Source organism: Homo sapiens, chromosome 5, assembly GCF_000001405.40.
Source record: "Homo sapiens chromosome 5, GRCh38.p14 Primary Assembly".
Taxonomy (NCBI): Eukaryota; Metazoa; Chordata; class Mammalia; order Primates; family Hominidae; genus Homo; species Homo sapiens.
The window spans coordinates 103154107-103170377 of NC_000005.10; the positions used below are offsets into that span (position 1 = coordinate 103154107).

Sequence of the window (16271 nt, forward strand, 5' to 3'; positions counted from 1 at the left end):
GCATCTAAAATTATTGTGGCAATATTCATAAATATCATCAGTCTGCCCTGGCTTTCATTTATTGTCATAAAGGTGTTCTATTTAATCTTTGCTTATCACTCTCTTGTATTGCATTCTGAGAGTGAGTAATCCCTCAGCCTTTTAGAAGAAAATTAGTAGAATGAAAGTTTCTGTTATTTCTATCCAGTGTTTGGTTTGGAGATGATAAAATTTGAAAACCCTGAGCCATTAAGTATGTGTTGACACAAGTAATTTTCAATGTATATGCAATGACTTCAGAAAATATATAATATTATGAACTATAATTGTATGTTTGGTTTCCGTGAAAAAACTTTGAAAAGTAGTATGGTGATTATTAGTTTGGTATCATTTAGGAAAGTACTAAGTTTTATCAATCAAAGTTGAGCAGCAACATGTACAGTGAAAGAGGAAACACAGTACTTGAAATCCTTAGATCCCAAGTTCTAGTCCCATAGCTTATCATTTATTATTTGTTAGTTTAAACATATATTGGTAATGTTAATTATTGCAAGTGACTAACAGTGTTCTGTCTTTTTTATAAGATTTTTTGATCTTTTTGAAAAGTGTGATGGATATAAATCAGGGAAATTAAAACTCAAAAAACCAAAACAGTTACAGGCAAGTGTATTTGCTTTCTTGTTTAATTTTAAATTTTTTAGTGGTGAAATTACATAAAAATTCAATTTTTTATTAATTTATTTTATAGGAAGTGCTAGATATTGCACGACAGCTTCTTATGGAGCTAGGGCAAAATAATGATTCTGAAATTGAAGAAAACAAGCCAAAACTTGAACAACTTAAGACTGTATTAGAGATGTGAGTATCTTTTTGAAACGCTTAATTGTGGTACTACATATAGCTCTTCTTTTTTATGTATGTGATTTTCCATTTTAATTACTTTCACAGTCTGATCTTTTTACTCTTTGTTACTATAGTTGAGACATGAAGGAAAATCTAATGTGAAAAAAATAGATTGCTGTATTGAAGGTTTTAGCTTTAGTTTTAATTTTGGTGAGAAGATTAAACAAGGACATCAAATTTGTGTCTTCTGTGAAATACTGCTTAGAATGAAGGCCACATTGCTAACTTGACCATAGATTCATTGCAGTTTAAATATAAAAAATTTGAATTTTGCCTTAATCAAGTAAAATGGATACCCACCAATATTCCTGTTACAGCTTTACATTTTTAATCTCTTACAATCTTATTTCCTTTATTTCTTAAAACACATACATCTGTGTTTTTACATATTTCTGTACTTTATCTCTTCAGAGTTGTCTTTTTTTTTTTTTTTTTTTTTTTTTTTTTTTTTTTTTTGAGACAGGGTCTTATTCTGTCACCCAGGCTGGAGTCAGTGGTGTGATCTCAGCTCACTGCAACCTCTCCCCCTCCCAAGTTCAAGCAGTTCTCATGCCTCAGCCTCCCAAGTATCTGGGACCACAGGCACACACCACCATGCCTGGCTAATTTTTGTATTTTTAGTGGAGACAGTTTCACCATGTTGGCCAGGCTGGTCTCGAACTCCTGACCTCAAGTCATCCACTCACCTCGGCCTCCCAAAGTGCTGGGATTACAGGCTTGAGCCATGGCACCCACGCCTGTAATTTTTAGAAAAACATTTTTGTTTTTAATGTGGTTAGAATGATTATATATGGTACAATTTTTTTTTGATAGAATATTTCGAAGAATTAAACAGGCGGTTACAAATAAAAGGGAGCATGAATATGTGAGAATTAGTTTTTCCCTACATGTTCTATTCTGTTTATCATTTTATTTTTCAGGTATGGTCATTTTTCTGGAATAAATCGTAAGGTTCAGTTGACCTATCTCCCTCATGGTTGTCCTAAAACATCTAGTGAAGAGGAGGGTATGTTATTCTTAATGCTTATACAGTAGTTTTATATGTAGTAACTTGTTATTCACTGTTGATTACCTTTGGACCATCTTTTGCTTAGTAGTTTAGGGAATGGCATGGTGAGGAAAAATAAAGTGGAATTATCTTAGCTGTGCTTCCTTTTCTTTAAATAAAGGATACAATTTTAAAATTACCTATTCTTTAAACAAAGGATAGATTTTATTGTTCTGAAAACTGCATAGGAATTCCTTTTAACTGCGGGATTGTTTCGGAAAACTTATTTGTTTATAACTAAGTGTTATTTAATGGGCTCCTTACATCACCTTTTGATAGTAGAGGGCAGAGTATATAAGAAGAAAGGCCAAGAAGTACAAAAAGACTTTGAAAAAATATACAATTAACCTGTTTCTAAAATAAATGGGTATTTTCTTCCACCCAGTAAACCAGAGTAAGTCTTTAAACAAGTTTGGTCTCCTAAGAGCAGTCAGTATCCACATTCATAAATGCATTTACCTTACAAAAGAAAAGGGTAGGGATTGGGGAAGTCATTTCATAGAGAAATGCAGATGACCAATAAAATAATAATGATAGTAATAATAATCTGTCTTGCCTATCATATTGGCAAAGTGTTTTCTTCGTTTCTGTTTTAAACTGGTAATAAAGTGTGCTGATGAGAATTCATTGAGACAGGATTTCAGTCTATAGTAGAAGTATAAATTGGCACAGTGTTTTGAAAAGTAACTTGGCAATATATCAAAAACTTCAGAAAATGTACTTATGCTTTGACCTGAATTCTGCTTATCAGGATCTAACCCAAAGAAGTAATCAGATGTTCAGGGAAAGATTATCTATAGGGATATTCATAGTGGTATTATTTATAGTAGCAAAAATTAATGATTATCTTAAATGCAGACACATATTTATAATAATCTTTATATATTTAGTTTAACATTTGATATATTGCTCTTATCACATTTTGTGGTTAATAGTAATACAGGTTAATTTTCTATATCTTAGTATTTATCATCAAAAACATTCTATAAGCAAATAATTTAAAAAGTTAGGTAACTAACTTTCTTTCCATAAATTAATATTGGTCTACATGACAAAGCTCACAGAACCGCTAACTTGCTGCAGGGGAAGGGGTGATTTCCTCTCACCTTTAAAGAATGATTATTAAGTTCTTTTAGTGCTTATAATGCTTATTTTTGAATTACTTTTTTTTTCAGAACCCAACACAGATCTTAATACCATGAAAAGGAGTAGGTCAAAATTAAGTACAGAAACTCATTAACTTATGGTATTTTCTTTGTTCAAGAAAATACTCTGATGTGTAACATGCAGAGATTCCACAATTTCAAATTTAAAAAGCTGCTCTTGAATACCTTTTGTTTGCGTAAAATTTATTAGATTGCATAAAATTTAAATTAGAATAAATGTTAGGCTCTGTCATCTCACATCTTCCTAAAAATGATGCAAATCACCGATTTCCAATCTTAAAAACATATGTATCTGGCCGGGCGCAGTGGCTCACGCCTTAATCCCAGCACTTTAGGAGGCCGAGGTGGGTGGATCACCTGAGGTCAAGATTTCGAGACCAGCCTGGCCAACATGGTGAAACCCCGTCTCTACTAAAAATACAAAAATTAGCCAGGCGCCTGTAGAGCCAAGATCGTGCCATTGCACTCCAGCCAGGGCGACCAAGCGAGACTCTGTCTCAAAAAAAAAAAACAAAAAAATATATATATCTTCTTCACTTCAACTAAGGTATTTTCTTTCATGGGACAGCACTGCAAAGGGTGCTTGATAGCAAGGCAGATAAAACCTGGATTCGGGCATCAAGGAGCTGTTAATCCAGCAGACATAGCACAACTAAATTAAGTACAATGAAAAAATTACTATGAGAGCAGGCAAGGGAGAAACATTACATCCCTGAAGAAAATTGGGAGCCATTTTTCTAAAGTATGAGAGAGATTTTCAAATTTCAGTAAGATTTAAACAGGTATAGCAAGGGAGTATTCCTTACAGAAGCAACTGCCTACAAACGGCATTAAGGAACATACATGCAACAGCATTTAAGGAAGAAAATATCTTACATATGGGCCATATTTCACTGCAGAAGAGAGCACAGAGAAAAAAATGAATCTTAAGTCTGTTTAAAGAAATAAACTTAACATTTGTTTTATTCATTCATATGTGTCATAGACAGCCGAAGAGAAGAACCATCTTTACTTTTGGTTCTAAAATGGGGAGGTGAATTAACTCCTGCAGGCAGGGTCCAGGCTGAAGAACTTGGAAGAGCCTTCAGGTGTATGTATCCTGGAGGTCAAGGTAAATCTTAGAGTTTTCTTTAATTTGACTAATTTCATAAATTGTATTTTGAAATCCTCATTTGTGATGTTATTAAACATTTATAGAAATACAATGAAATGAAAATATAGCTGAAGTGATTTGAGGATTTATTTTCAGGAGATTATGCAGGATTTCCTGGTTGTGGTTTACTTAGATTACATAGCACCTACAGACATGACCTCAAAATATATGCCTCTGATGAAGGACGAGTCCAGATGACTGCAGCTGCTTTTGCAAAGGTATAAATAATTTTTTTTTAGAATTATTAGAGTTTTTAATCTAATATTGTATCTTAAAACATTTTTGGCTGGGCGCAGTGGCTTACACCTGTAATCCTAGCACTTTGGGAGGCTGAGGTGGTCAGATCACTAGAGCCCAGGAGTTTGAGACAAGCCTGGGCAACATGACGAAACCTGTCTCTGCAAAAAAATTAAAAAAATAAAAATTAGCCAGGTGTAGTGGTTCACACCTGTAGTCCCAGCAGCTCAGGAGGCTGAGATGGGAGGATCACCTGAGCCCAGGAGGTCAAGGCTGCAATGAGCCAAAATCACACCGCTGCACTCTACCGCAGGCAACAGTGTCAGACCCTTGTCTCAAAAAAAAACCAAAATTTTTTTAACCAAGGAATATTTAAAAATTCTGTATTTGGAACTTTCAAGTAAAACTCTAAAATGACAATAATGAACTGTAGTATTAATAAAGTTTATTTATGATAAACTTAACTTATACTTTATGAAAATCAGTATGTAACAAAATATTATTTTACGTATTAATTTTTTAAATTCGTGTTTTCTTTATTTAATATGCTTAGGGGCTTTTAGCTTTGGAAGGAGAGCTTACACCCATTCTTGTTCAAATGGTGAAAAGTGCAAATATGAACGGTCTTTTGGATAGTGATAGTGACTCTCTGAGCAGTTGTCAGCAACGTGTGAAGGCAAGGCTTCATGAAATACTTCAGAAAGACAGAGATTTTACTGCTGAAGATTATGAAAAGGTGGGTCTTAGCAAACTCTTATATTGTGAAATATTACACACACACAGAAAAGTGATAAGTGCATAAAACATACATGTAGAGCTTATTGTATTATAAAGCAAATACACATGTTATCATCCTCCAGGTAAAGAAATAGAACATTGGAACAACTTTGGCTTCTGTATGCCCCTTTTCAATCGCAACCCATTCCCTACCTCCTCAAAAAAACTACTGTCCTGACTTTTTATATTCTTTTCATATCCAGAATACTTACTTGAATAATAAGTATAGTCTCTAACCAGTGTAGTCTAATTTTTGGCTTTTTTCTAACTTTAAATCTATTGATTTTAATTGGCAAATTAAAATTATATATGTTTATGACACAACATGTTTTAAAATATATATGCATTGTGAAATGGCTAACTTAAGCTAATTAACATATGTATTACCTCACATCCTTATTTATTTGTGATGAGAACATTTAAAATCTACTCTCAGCAATTTTCAAGGATAAAACATATTGCTATTACTATAATCACCATGTTGTACAATAGAGCTCCTGAACTTATTCCTTCTGTCCAACTGAAATTGTGTATCCCTTGACCAACATCTTCCCAACCCCTTCCTTTTCCAGCCTCTGGTAGCCATCATTTTACTCTGCTTCTCTAAGTTTAACTTTTTTAGATTCTACATATAAGTGAGATTATACATATTTGTCATTCTGTGCCTGGCTTATTTCACTTAACATAGTGTCTTCTAGGTTCATCCATGTTGTTGCTAATGATAGGATTTCCTTCTTTTTTAAGGCTAGATGATGATACTTCATCTTGTATATATACTACACTTTCTTTATTCATTCATCTGTTATTGGACAGGTTGATTCCAGATCTTATCTATTGTGAACAGTGTTACAATAAAAATGGGAATGCAAATATCTCCTTGATATACGATTTCATTTCCTTTAGCTGTATACCTAGTATTGGGATTGTTGGATCATATGGTTTTTCTGTCTTCAGTTTTTTGAGCAATGTTCATACTGTTTTCTATAATGGCTCTACAGTATTAATTTACTTTGGCTATTTTTTAAGGTTCATAGAACATGTTTTATTTTATATTTGGCTTCTTTTATTTAATATTTTATTTGTGAAATTCAACCATATTAAGTAATGGTCATAGTTAGTTAATAATCATTGCTGTGTTTGCTGTATTCCATTTCAGGGTTGGCAGAACTTTTCTGTAAAAGGCCAGATAGTAAATATTTTATTTAAAAAAATTAGACTTTGCAGTCCAAATATGGTCTCTGTTGCATATTGTTTTTGTTTTCTTTTAACTGCCTTTTAAGCATGTAAAAACCATTCTTAGCTCATGGCCTGTGTAACAGGCCACATTTGACCTGCAGGCTATAGTTTGTTGATCCATGTACTACTTTATGAACATATTACAATTTATATATGCTTTCTATTATTGTTAGAGTTTTGGACTGTTAGGATTAAAGTTGCCATGAATATCCTGGTATGGCACCTGTGCAATGAGCATACGTTTCTCTTGGGTATATTGTAGGAGTGGAATTATTGTGACCATGGTATACTTATTTACAATGTTAGCAGGTAATGTCAAACTGTTTTTTTTTTCTTTTTTGTCTTTTCATTCTTTTTTTTTTTTAAATTATACTTTAAGTTATAGGGTACATGTGCACGACGTGCAGATTTGTTACATATGTATACATGTGCCATGTTGGTGTGCTGCACCCATTAACTCGTCATTTACATTAGGTATATCTCCTAATGCTTTCCCTCCCCCCAACCCCCACCCCCACAACAGGCCCCAGTGTATGATGTTCCCCTTCCTGTGTCCAAGTGTTCTCATTGTTCAGTTCCCACCTGTGAGTGAGAACATGCGGTGTTTGGTTTTTTGTCCTTTCGATAGTTTGCTGAGAATGATGGTTTCCAGCTTCATCCATGTCCCTACAAAGGACATTAACTCATCATTTTTTATGGCTGCATAGTATTCCATGGTGTATATGTGCCACATTTTCTTAATCTAGTCTATCATTGATGGACATTTGGATTGGTTCCAAGTCTTTGTTATTGTGAATGGTGCCACAATAAACATACGTGTGCATGTGTCTTTACAGCAGCATGATTTATAATCCTTTGGGTATATACCCAGTAATGGGATGGCTGGGTCAAATGGTATTTCTAGTTCTAGATCCTTGAGGAATCGCCATACTGTCTTCCACAATGGTTGAACTAGTTTACAGTCCCACCAACAGTGTAAAAGTGTTCCTATTTCTCCACATCCTCTCCAGCACCTGTTGTTTCCTGACTTTTTAATGATTGCCATTCTAACTGGTGTGAGATGGTATCTCATTGTGGTTTTGATTTGCATTTCTCTGATGGCCAGTGATGATGAGCCATGTGTCTGTTGGCTGCATAAATGTCTTCTTTTGAGAAGTGTCTGTTCATATCCTTCACCCACTTTTTGATGGGGTTGTTTGTTTTTTTCTTGTAAATTTCTTTGAGTTCTTTGTAGATTCTGGATATTAGCCCTTTGTCAGATGAGTAGATTGTAAAACTTTTCTCCCATTCTGTAGGTTGCCTGTTCACTCTGATGGTAGTTTCTTTTGCTGTGCAGAAGCTCTTGAGTTTAATTAGATCCCATTTGTCAATTTTGGCTTTTGTTGCCACTGCCTTTGGTGTTTTCTAATGCTATTGAGCTAATTTACACTCCCACCAGAGGTCAATGATAGTTGTCATTGCTCCACATATTCTCCATTCTTGGGATTCTCAGATGATTCCATTTTGGTCATTCTGGTGGATATACCTAGAATTTACTTTATTGTGGCTTCAATGTCTATTGACCATTTAGATATCCTCTTGAATGAGGACAAGTCTCTTGTCCTTTTTCTGTGAATTGTCTATGTTTTTCTTCTTGGATGGTAGAAGTTCTTTATATATTCTGGATATGAGTTCTTTGTTACATGTAGATAACATAAAGTTAACACCACCTACTCTGAGCCTTAATGATGTCATGATGTGTTTTCTTTTTTTTTTTTTTGTTTTTTTGTTTTGTAGAGACAATGTCTTGCTCTGTCACCCAGGCGGGAGTGCAGTGGTGTGATCATAGCTCACTGTGGCCTGAAACCCCTGGGCTCAAGTGATTCTCCTGCCTCAGCCTCCTGAGTAGCTGAGACTACAGGTGCACGCCACCATGCTCAGCTAACTTTTTAAATTTTTGTAGAGACTGGGTCTCACTGTGTTGCCCAGGCTAGTCTCGAACTCTTGGCCTCAAGTGATCCTCCTGCCTTGACATCCCAAGGCTTTGGAATTACAGGCATGAGCCACCATGCCCAGCCAATAATATCTTTTGATAAGCAAAAGTTATAGTTTTTCATGATTTCCAAGTTCATTTTTTTCCCCTTAGGGTCAATGCATTTTAATATATTGTTTAAGATATCTTTTTCGGAGAAGAGGCCATAAGATATATATATCTTCTATAAACTTACTGTTTTGCTCTTCACATTTATCTGTATATCAGATAAAATTGACTTTTGTGTGTGCTATGAGCTAAGAATGTCAAGGTTGTTATTTCCCCTGCAACTATATATACATCTGGGTGTCCCAGCAGAACATACTGAAAAGACTATTCTTTCCCATTACTCAGAAGTACCATATTTATTATATATGTGTGATCTGTTTCTGGACCCTGTATTCTGTTTGTTGATCCGTGTGCCAATGAATAATACCTCCCAACACCCCAAATGGATCCTTCTTCAAGTGTTTTTTTTTTTTTTTTTTTTTGCATTTTCATATAAATTTTAAAACAAGCTGGTCAAAAATACTGTTGGGATTTTTTTATTTAGGTTGTATGATATCTGTAGTTTGTGCAAATTTACATTTTTTTCTCTAGTCTTTCAATCTGTGAATGTAGTGTAGCTCATTTATTTAGATATTCTTTAATATCTTTCAATAATGTTTTATAATTTACTTCACAGAGTTCTTGTGCATCTTTGTTAGATTTAGGCTAAGGTGATTGATATTGTGCAATTATAAATGGGCCCTCTTTAAAAGTTTTATTCTCTGTTGTTGCTATATAGAAATATAATTAGTTTTAAAATATTGAGATTATAGGCATCAACCTTGTCGAACTCATTAGTTCTAATAATTTATCTAGATTTGTTTCATTCTTTAACTGCACATCTATACTTTTTTTCTTTTCCAATCTTTGTTTTTTAAAAATTCTTTTTCTTGCTTTCCATAGGTAGGACCCTCAAAATAATATTAAATAAAAGTAGCATTTCTAGTAACACTTGTACATTAAATATAAAGTTTTCTGTAGATATTTTATATAGCTGCCCTTCAAAATAAGGAAATTTCATTGTTTCTATTTGGCTGAGTTTCCATTATAAAAACGTACTGAATTTTATCATATTTTCTTTCATCTATTATATCTTACAGTTTTTTGAATGTGAAACTAACCTTGGTTCTAGAATATCCTCAGCTTTTCCATGTATGATCTTTTTCTTTCATATCACTGATTTTAGTTTGCTGAAATTTTGGTTAGGAATTTTGAATCTATGTTCATGTCAGATTGGCCTTTACTTTTTTATTTTTGTTGTGTCTTATTTCAATGTCAGGATTATGCTAGTCTTGTAAAATTAGTTAGGGAATGCTTCCTATTTGAGGAGAATAGTATATGTACAAATATTTCATTAAATTTTTAGTAAGCTTTACTAGTAAATAGTATGGTAAATCCTGTGGGTGTTTTCTTTGTGGGAAAGTTTCTAATTATGGAATTCAGAATAGTTTAGTACTTCTCAGTTATGTTTATGTCAATATTATTAAATTATATTTTTTAGAAGTTTGTTCATAATTTCTTTGTAATTTGTGTAGGATCTATAGAGATTTCCCTTTTTCTTTCATAACATTATACTTTTTTCCTTTTCTTCTTGATCAGTTTCACCATGGTTGATTAGTTTATTAGTCCTTTCAAAGAACCATTGTTAAGATTTGTTAGGTCTCTGAATTATATGCTTATTTTCCATTTGATTAATTCTCATTGCTTAATATTTTATTTCTTCTACCTCTCTAGTTTTATTTTGCTATTTTTCTGATTCTCGAAATTAATAACACCAGGTGAATACTTACTAAGTTATTAATGTTCTGTCTTTTACAAAATGTGCACCCTAGGCCGTATATTTTCCTTTATGCACTCTTTTGACTGGAGTCATTTATTATATTCATAAATATAAATGTTTCCAGTGGAGAAACAGCCTTAAATTCTAGGCTCACTTTCTGGATCACTGACCTTTGAGTTTTGCTTCCATAATTCTTTACCACCTTGTTATTTCACAGATTCCTTAAAGCATACATATAGATATTCTTTGCCCAGAATTTTTACTTCCCTTCAGTGGATATATTGGTCCAAACTACCTAGTTTATTATAACCAGAAGTAGAATTGCACTTGACATTTTTTATATTGTAGAAACTTACTTAATGTGGTTAAATAACTTGCCAAGCTAAATGTCAAAACTGGAATGTGGAACTATATTTTTATTGATGGCTTTTATTCAAAAAAATTCATTACAAATTCATTACAAAGGCATAACAGGATAGTGGTTTAGAGCACCAGTCTGTAGCCAGACTACCTGCATTTGAGTCCTACTCCTTTACATCCTAGTGGTTTGATCTTAAGCAAGTAGCTTAACCTCAGGTAAGTCACTCATCTGGGAAAAGATAATAATAGATGCCTAGAGTTATTACATGTAAATATATGTCAAGTGGTCAGAACCATATTTACACATGTTAACAGAGTCAGCAGATTGTCATCAAATTCCATTAAGTTAGAGTGTTGCTGCTAAATTTTCTTTATTGATAAGACAGCTAAGGTTTAATATTTTTTAACATGAATTCTGAGTCTTTTACTTCCTCCTTGATCTCATTACTATACAGTTCACCTTTAGACAATGTTGGGGTTGGAAGTGCCAGTCCCCCTCACAGTAAAAAAATTCGTGTATAACTTTTGACTCTGCAAAAACTTAACTACCAAGTTAAGCCTACCTTTGACTGGAAGCCTTAGCAATAATGTGAACAATGAACATATATGAATGCTCATTATGAAAAAACTATACACAAATTTCAACTTTTTTTTACACTAAAATAATCTTGTATTATCTTGTTATGACATGTCTGAACAGGATTTAGTTTGAGGCACTAACAAGAGTAAGACATCAGTTTGAAGAGAGCCCCTGCGAGGGGCAACATGAATTCTGCTAAAATTGAAACAAGAACAAACAGCAAATTTATGGTGAAGCTTAAGTGAAAAAAATGGTGAAATCATTGACACTTTACAAAAAGTTTATAGGAACAGTTTCCCGAAGAAATCAGCAGTATACAAATGGATAACTCGTTTTAAGATGGGACGAGATGATGTTGAAGATGAAGCCCTCAAAGGCAGACCATCCACATCAATTTTGCAAGGAAAAAATTAATCTTGTTCATGCCCTAATTGAAGAAGACCAATAATTAACAGCAGAAACAATAGCCAGTACCATAGACATCTCAGTTGGTTTAACTTACACAATTCTGACTGAAAAATTAAAGTTGAGCAAACTTTCTGCTTAGAGTGCCAGAACCATTGTGCTCAGATCAGCTATAGACAGTAGCAGAGCTTTCAATGGAAATTTTAAACAAGTGGGATGAAGATCCCAAAGCATTTCTTTGAAGAATTGTAACAGAAGATGAAACTGATTTTACCAGGATGACCCTGAAGATAAAGCACAATCAAAGTAATGGCTACCAAGAAGTGGAATTGGTCCAGTCAAAGCAGAAGCAGACTGGTCAAGAGCAGAGGTCATGGCAATAGTTTTTTGGGACGCTCAAGGCATTTTGCTTGCTGACTTTCTGGAGTGCTAAAAAGCAATAACATCTGCTTATTATGAGATTGTTTTGAGAGAGTTAGCCAAAGCATTAGTAGAAAACACCCACAAAATCTTCACTACAGAGTCCTCCATCATGACAATGCTCCTGCTTATTCCTCTCAGACAAGGGCAGTTTTGCAAGAGTTTCAGTGGGAGATCATTAGGAATCTACCTTGTCGTCCTGATGTGGCTCCTTCTGACTTCTGTTTGTTTCCTAATCTTAAAAAAATATTTAAGGGGCACTCATTTTTCTTCAGTTAATAATGTAAAAAGTCTGCATTGACGTGGGTAAATTCCCAGGATCCTCCATATTTTAGGAATAGACTAAATGGCTGGTATCATCGCTTACAAAAGTGTCTTGACCCTGACAGACCTTAGGTTGAGAAATAAAGTTTTTTACTTTTATCTTTTAATTCAATTTTTCCACATACTTTCTGGAAGTTCCCCAGTATTTTGTATATGTATTATATGCTCTAGTCTTACAACAGAGGGAACTAGAGAAAAGAAAATATTAAGAAAATTCTAGAGTGAGCTAGAGAAAAGAAAATGTTATTAAGAAAATTATAAGGAAGAGAATATATTTACTATGCCTTAAGGGGAAATAGATCATCTTAGAGGTCTTCATCTTTATTTTCACATTGAGTAGGCTGAAAAGAAAGAGGAAGAGGAGGGGTTAGTCATGCTGTCTCAAGGGTGGAAGAGGTGAAGGAGGTGGAAGGGGAGGCAGGAGAAACAGTACATTTTGGTGTAACTTTTAGGGAAAAACCCTGCATATATGTGGTCCTTTGCAGTTCAAACCTGTGGTGTTCAAGGGTCAACTGTATTTTGTGGTCATTTTAATTTCTGCTATGGAATTATTCTCCAGCTACTGGAAAATTTTGTATATATATATTGTTCTCTTAGACAATTAGGCATAACCAGATATAAAATATATACTTTACTCATTTGTAGCTTACTCCATCTGGAAGCATTTCTCTTATCAAATCAATGCATTTAATTAAAAACCCTGTGAAGACCTGTGATAAAGTTTATTCCTTAATTCAGAGTTTGACTTCTCAAATCAGACATCGAATGGAAGATCCTAAATCATCAGGTAAATATGTTTTTCTTAGAGCATAGAACAAATAAAAGTTACTATTCAATTAAGCATTTAATATATGATGCACCAATCTTGTTGTAAGAAATCAAGCCTCTCTTGAGAGCTATGTATAGTATGAGTTAATGTATATCAAGCAAAAAAATAATGGCTAAGTTATAGTGGTTTTTATCCATGACAGCATGAAAGAGAAAATAAAATATTCTCATTTGATTATCTTATTATGCAGCATTGCTATATAGTTAAGCAGTGAGTAGACAGGGTAATAAGAAGGAGCAAGCAACAGGAAAGTGATCTAGGCTCTGGCCCCAAAGCTTACTTGGTTAGTAACTCAGACAACTTTGGCATCTTGGGTTTTTTTCTGGCAGAAAATGGATCATTTGGACTATTTTTAATGTCTAATGTTCCTCTGCTAGTCTGCCTATTCACTTAGTTATGTGAGTCTAATAAGAATAACAGTATTGAAAATTGAAAATATATGAGCTTAAAAGAGCTTTGTTAAAATTGTTGCTCTTTTTCTTCTTATTGTTATTAAAGTCTATAATATATGGAAAAAGTCTAAGCCTAGTTCCTAACCCTTTAAGTCTAAAAGATATATGGTTGCTAGTAGCGTATGCCTAAAGTAACTCTCTAACTTCATACAGTTGTATTTTTGACACTTTAAAAAGTTTCTAATTATTAACATATTAATATATATTCTAAATCAGATTTTTAAGTTGCATAAACTAAAAATGTTATGTTGTTTTAGATATTCAGCTTTACCATAGTGAAACATTGGAGCTTATGCTACGTAGATGGTCCAAGTTAGAGAAAGACTTTAAAACAAAGAATGGAAGATATGATATTAGTAAAATCCCTGACATATATGACTGTATAAAATATGATGTCCAGCATAATGGTTCCTTGAAATTAGAAAACACAATGGAATTATATAGGCTTTCGAAGGCATTAGCAGATATTGTTATCCCTCAGGTAAGTCATTCTTAAGAATCAATTTCTTATAATATTGAAAAAATACTTTTAAAATGTCTGTTGGTGGATAAAAAGGTAGTTGGTTTTCATGTCCTTGGAAAACCAGTAACTTTAAACAGGAAATTAGGTAATTATGAATTTATATTTTAAGGTTTTTATGGTTGTATTGATCACATTATTTGATTTTCTAATAGTTTGACTACAGTGACTTTTTTTAGTAGACTATATTTATTAGAGCAGTTTTATGTTCACAGCAAAATCAAACAGAAGGTACAAAGATTTCCCATATGCCCCTGCCTCCATACATAGCACGTCCTCCCCCGCATTATGATTGTCCCCCACAAGAATGGTGCATTTGTTATAACTGATGAACCTACATTGACACATCACCCAGAGTCCATAGTGCATTAGGGTTCACTCTTGGTGTTGTACATATGGGTTTGGGCAAATTTATAATGACATGTATCATCATAGTAGCATACAGAGTATTTCACTGCCATAAGAAGGTAGTAAAGTTTTTTTTTAATTTAAGAATTGATACTCTTAGAGAATAATAATATGTGAACAAACTAAAGAATGGAAAACAGTATGGAATAAATCAATTAAGCATTTATTGAACACCTGTTTTGCATCTGCCATCTCTATATGGAAATATGTGGAGAGTAACACATAAAGAATTACGGTCTTATATAAAATTTTTTGCAAGTCTTTTTACTTTATGCAAAAGTATTTTGAAAATAATGTTTAGAGGTCAAGATATATGTAGTTGTTCTTTTGGGGGACATGGGTCTTTTCATTATAGGAGAATAAAAATAAAGGTGTAACAAGAATTCAATTAACTAAAATGCAATTAAGCAGAGAATTGGATTGATAATAAAGGGGTAAGTGGCAAAACATATTGAGATCAGGACTATGTTAGAAGAACAAAGTTCCAGATGTCACTTTTGGACCTTTTTTCAACTCAGTACAAGATTATTTGGATATTGTAAAGAGGAGGTTGGAGTAGATCAGGTATTCCAACCGTGGACTACATAAAGTTTGAAAGCAGGAAAATATTAAATACATGAAAAAGATAAAGATTATGAAAAAAAAGTTCAAAAAGCCTAACTTATAAATACACATGTATAAGAATGGTTAAAATAACTGTCCCTTTCCTAATATTCATAGACAGTACAGGAAAACCTATAGATTTTGAAAAACTGAGAATTCATACAATTGTACAACTTACCTATAGGTATTTGTATACGTGTTAACAATTAGCTTGTTTCTTCAACATGAAAGAGAACTATATATTTGATCAGATATATAATATAGACAATTTTAGGTATATTGTATGAATCTGTGATTTTAAAAATTATTTTTAGAAGAGTATGAAAATATCTCAGACTTTACGAATACGTCTTTAGGCCTTTAGGAAACATTTACTTAGGAAACAGGACTCATTCCCTGACAATTTCTTTCATTTAGCAAATGAAAAAGGTTAAGTTTTATTCTGTAAAAGACAAGTTTTATTTTGCATAATAAAAATGTTTTGGTTTTGTAAGTATGCTTTTTAACAATTAGCTGTGAATACAAGACTTTAAGATATTTATGGCAGCTATAAGCACTTTTCAAGGTGGGCTGTCAGTATATCTAAATGTATCACCTACTCAGAGGCTAAATACACAATGCTTTGTCTAATCTTTAGCATAACCATGTCTGTGCCATTGCATTGCTTATTTAATCTCACCCCTCTACTGTTTCCATTATATATACTAAATATTTTACAACTGGGAATGAAAAATTAGTCCCTGAGAGTTGAGCCGAAAAGAAAACTCAAGTGTTAACAGTATTGTAGATGGTCATTTCTCCTCCTTACATGGTGTATGTATTTCAGGTGTATTGTTTATATAGTTGAAGACATTTCTCACCATGTCCTTGTAACTTAAATAAATTCATAATAAATTTTTTTAAATACCAGAAGAAGCACTAAAGATTAGTATGTTACGAAGGAGTTGAGTCACCATTTGTATCTATCAAAGTAATTCTTCAAGCTCAGCTGTTCTCAGTATGTTATGGTGATTCTCTTTGCTGCAATTAGGT

The 16271-nt window shown here is 33.3% G+C and overlaps 1 protein-coding gene across 30 annotated transcripts in view; it reads left to right on the forward strand.

Annotated features, from left to right (window-relative positions):
• PPIP5K2 (diphosphoinositol pentakisphosphate kinase 2) overlaps positions 1-16271 on the forward strand; it is a 92499-nt gene that overhangs the window by 33806 nt on the left and 42422 nt on the right. For 18 of the 30 annotated variants that reach the window (NM_001281471.3, XM_005277534.3, XM_005277536.3 and 15 more), the window contains exons 12-19: positions 564-639; positions 728-837; positions 1803-1888; positions 4082-4207; positions 4346-4467; positions 5040-5222; positions 13073-13214; positions 13966-14189. In NM_001281471.3, coding sequence (NP_001268400.1) covers positions 564-639; positions 728-837; positions 1803-1888; positions 4082-4207; positions 4346-4467; positions 5040-5222; positions 13073-13214; positions 13966-14189 — 1069 coding nt within the window. The remainder of the gene's footprint in view (positions 1-563; positions 640-727; positions 838-1802; positions 1889-4081; positions 4208-4345; positions 4468-5039; positions 5223-13072; positions 13215-13965; positions 14190-16271) is intronic. The other 12 variants (XM_005277535.3, XM_047417009.1, XM_047417008.1 and 9 more) reach the window with 1 other exon arrangement.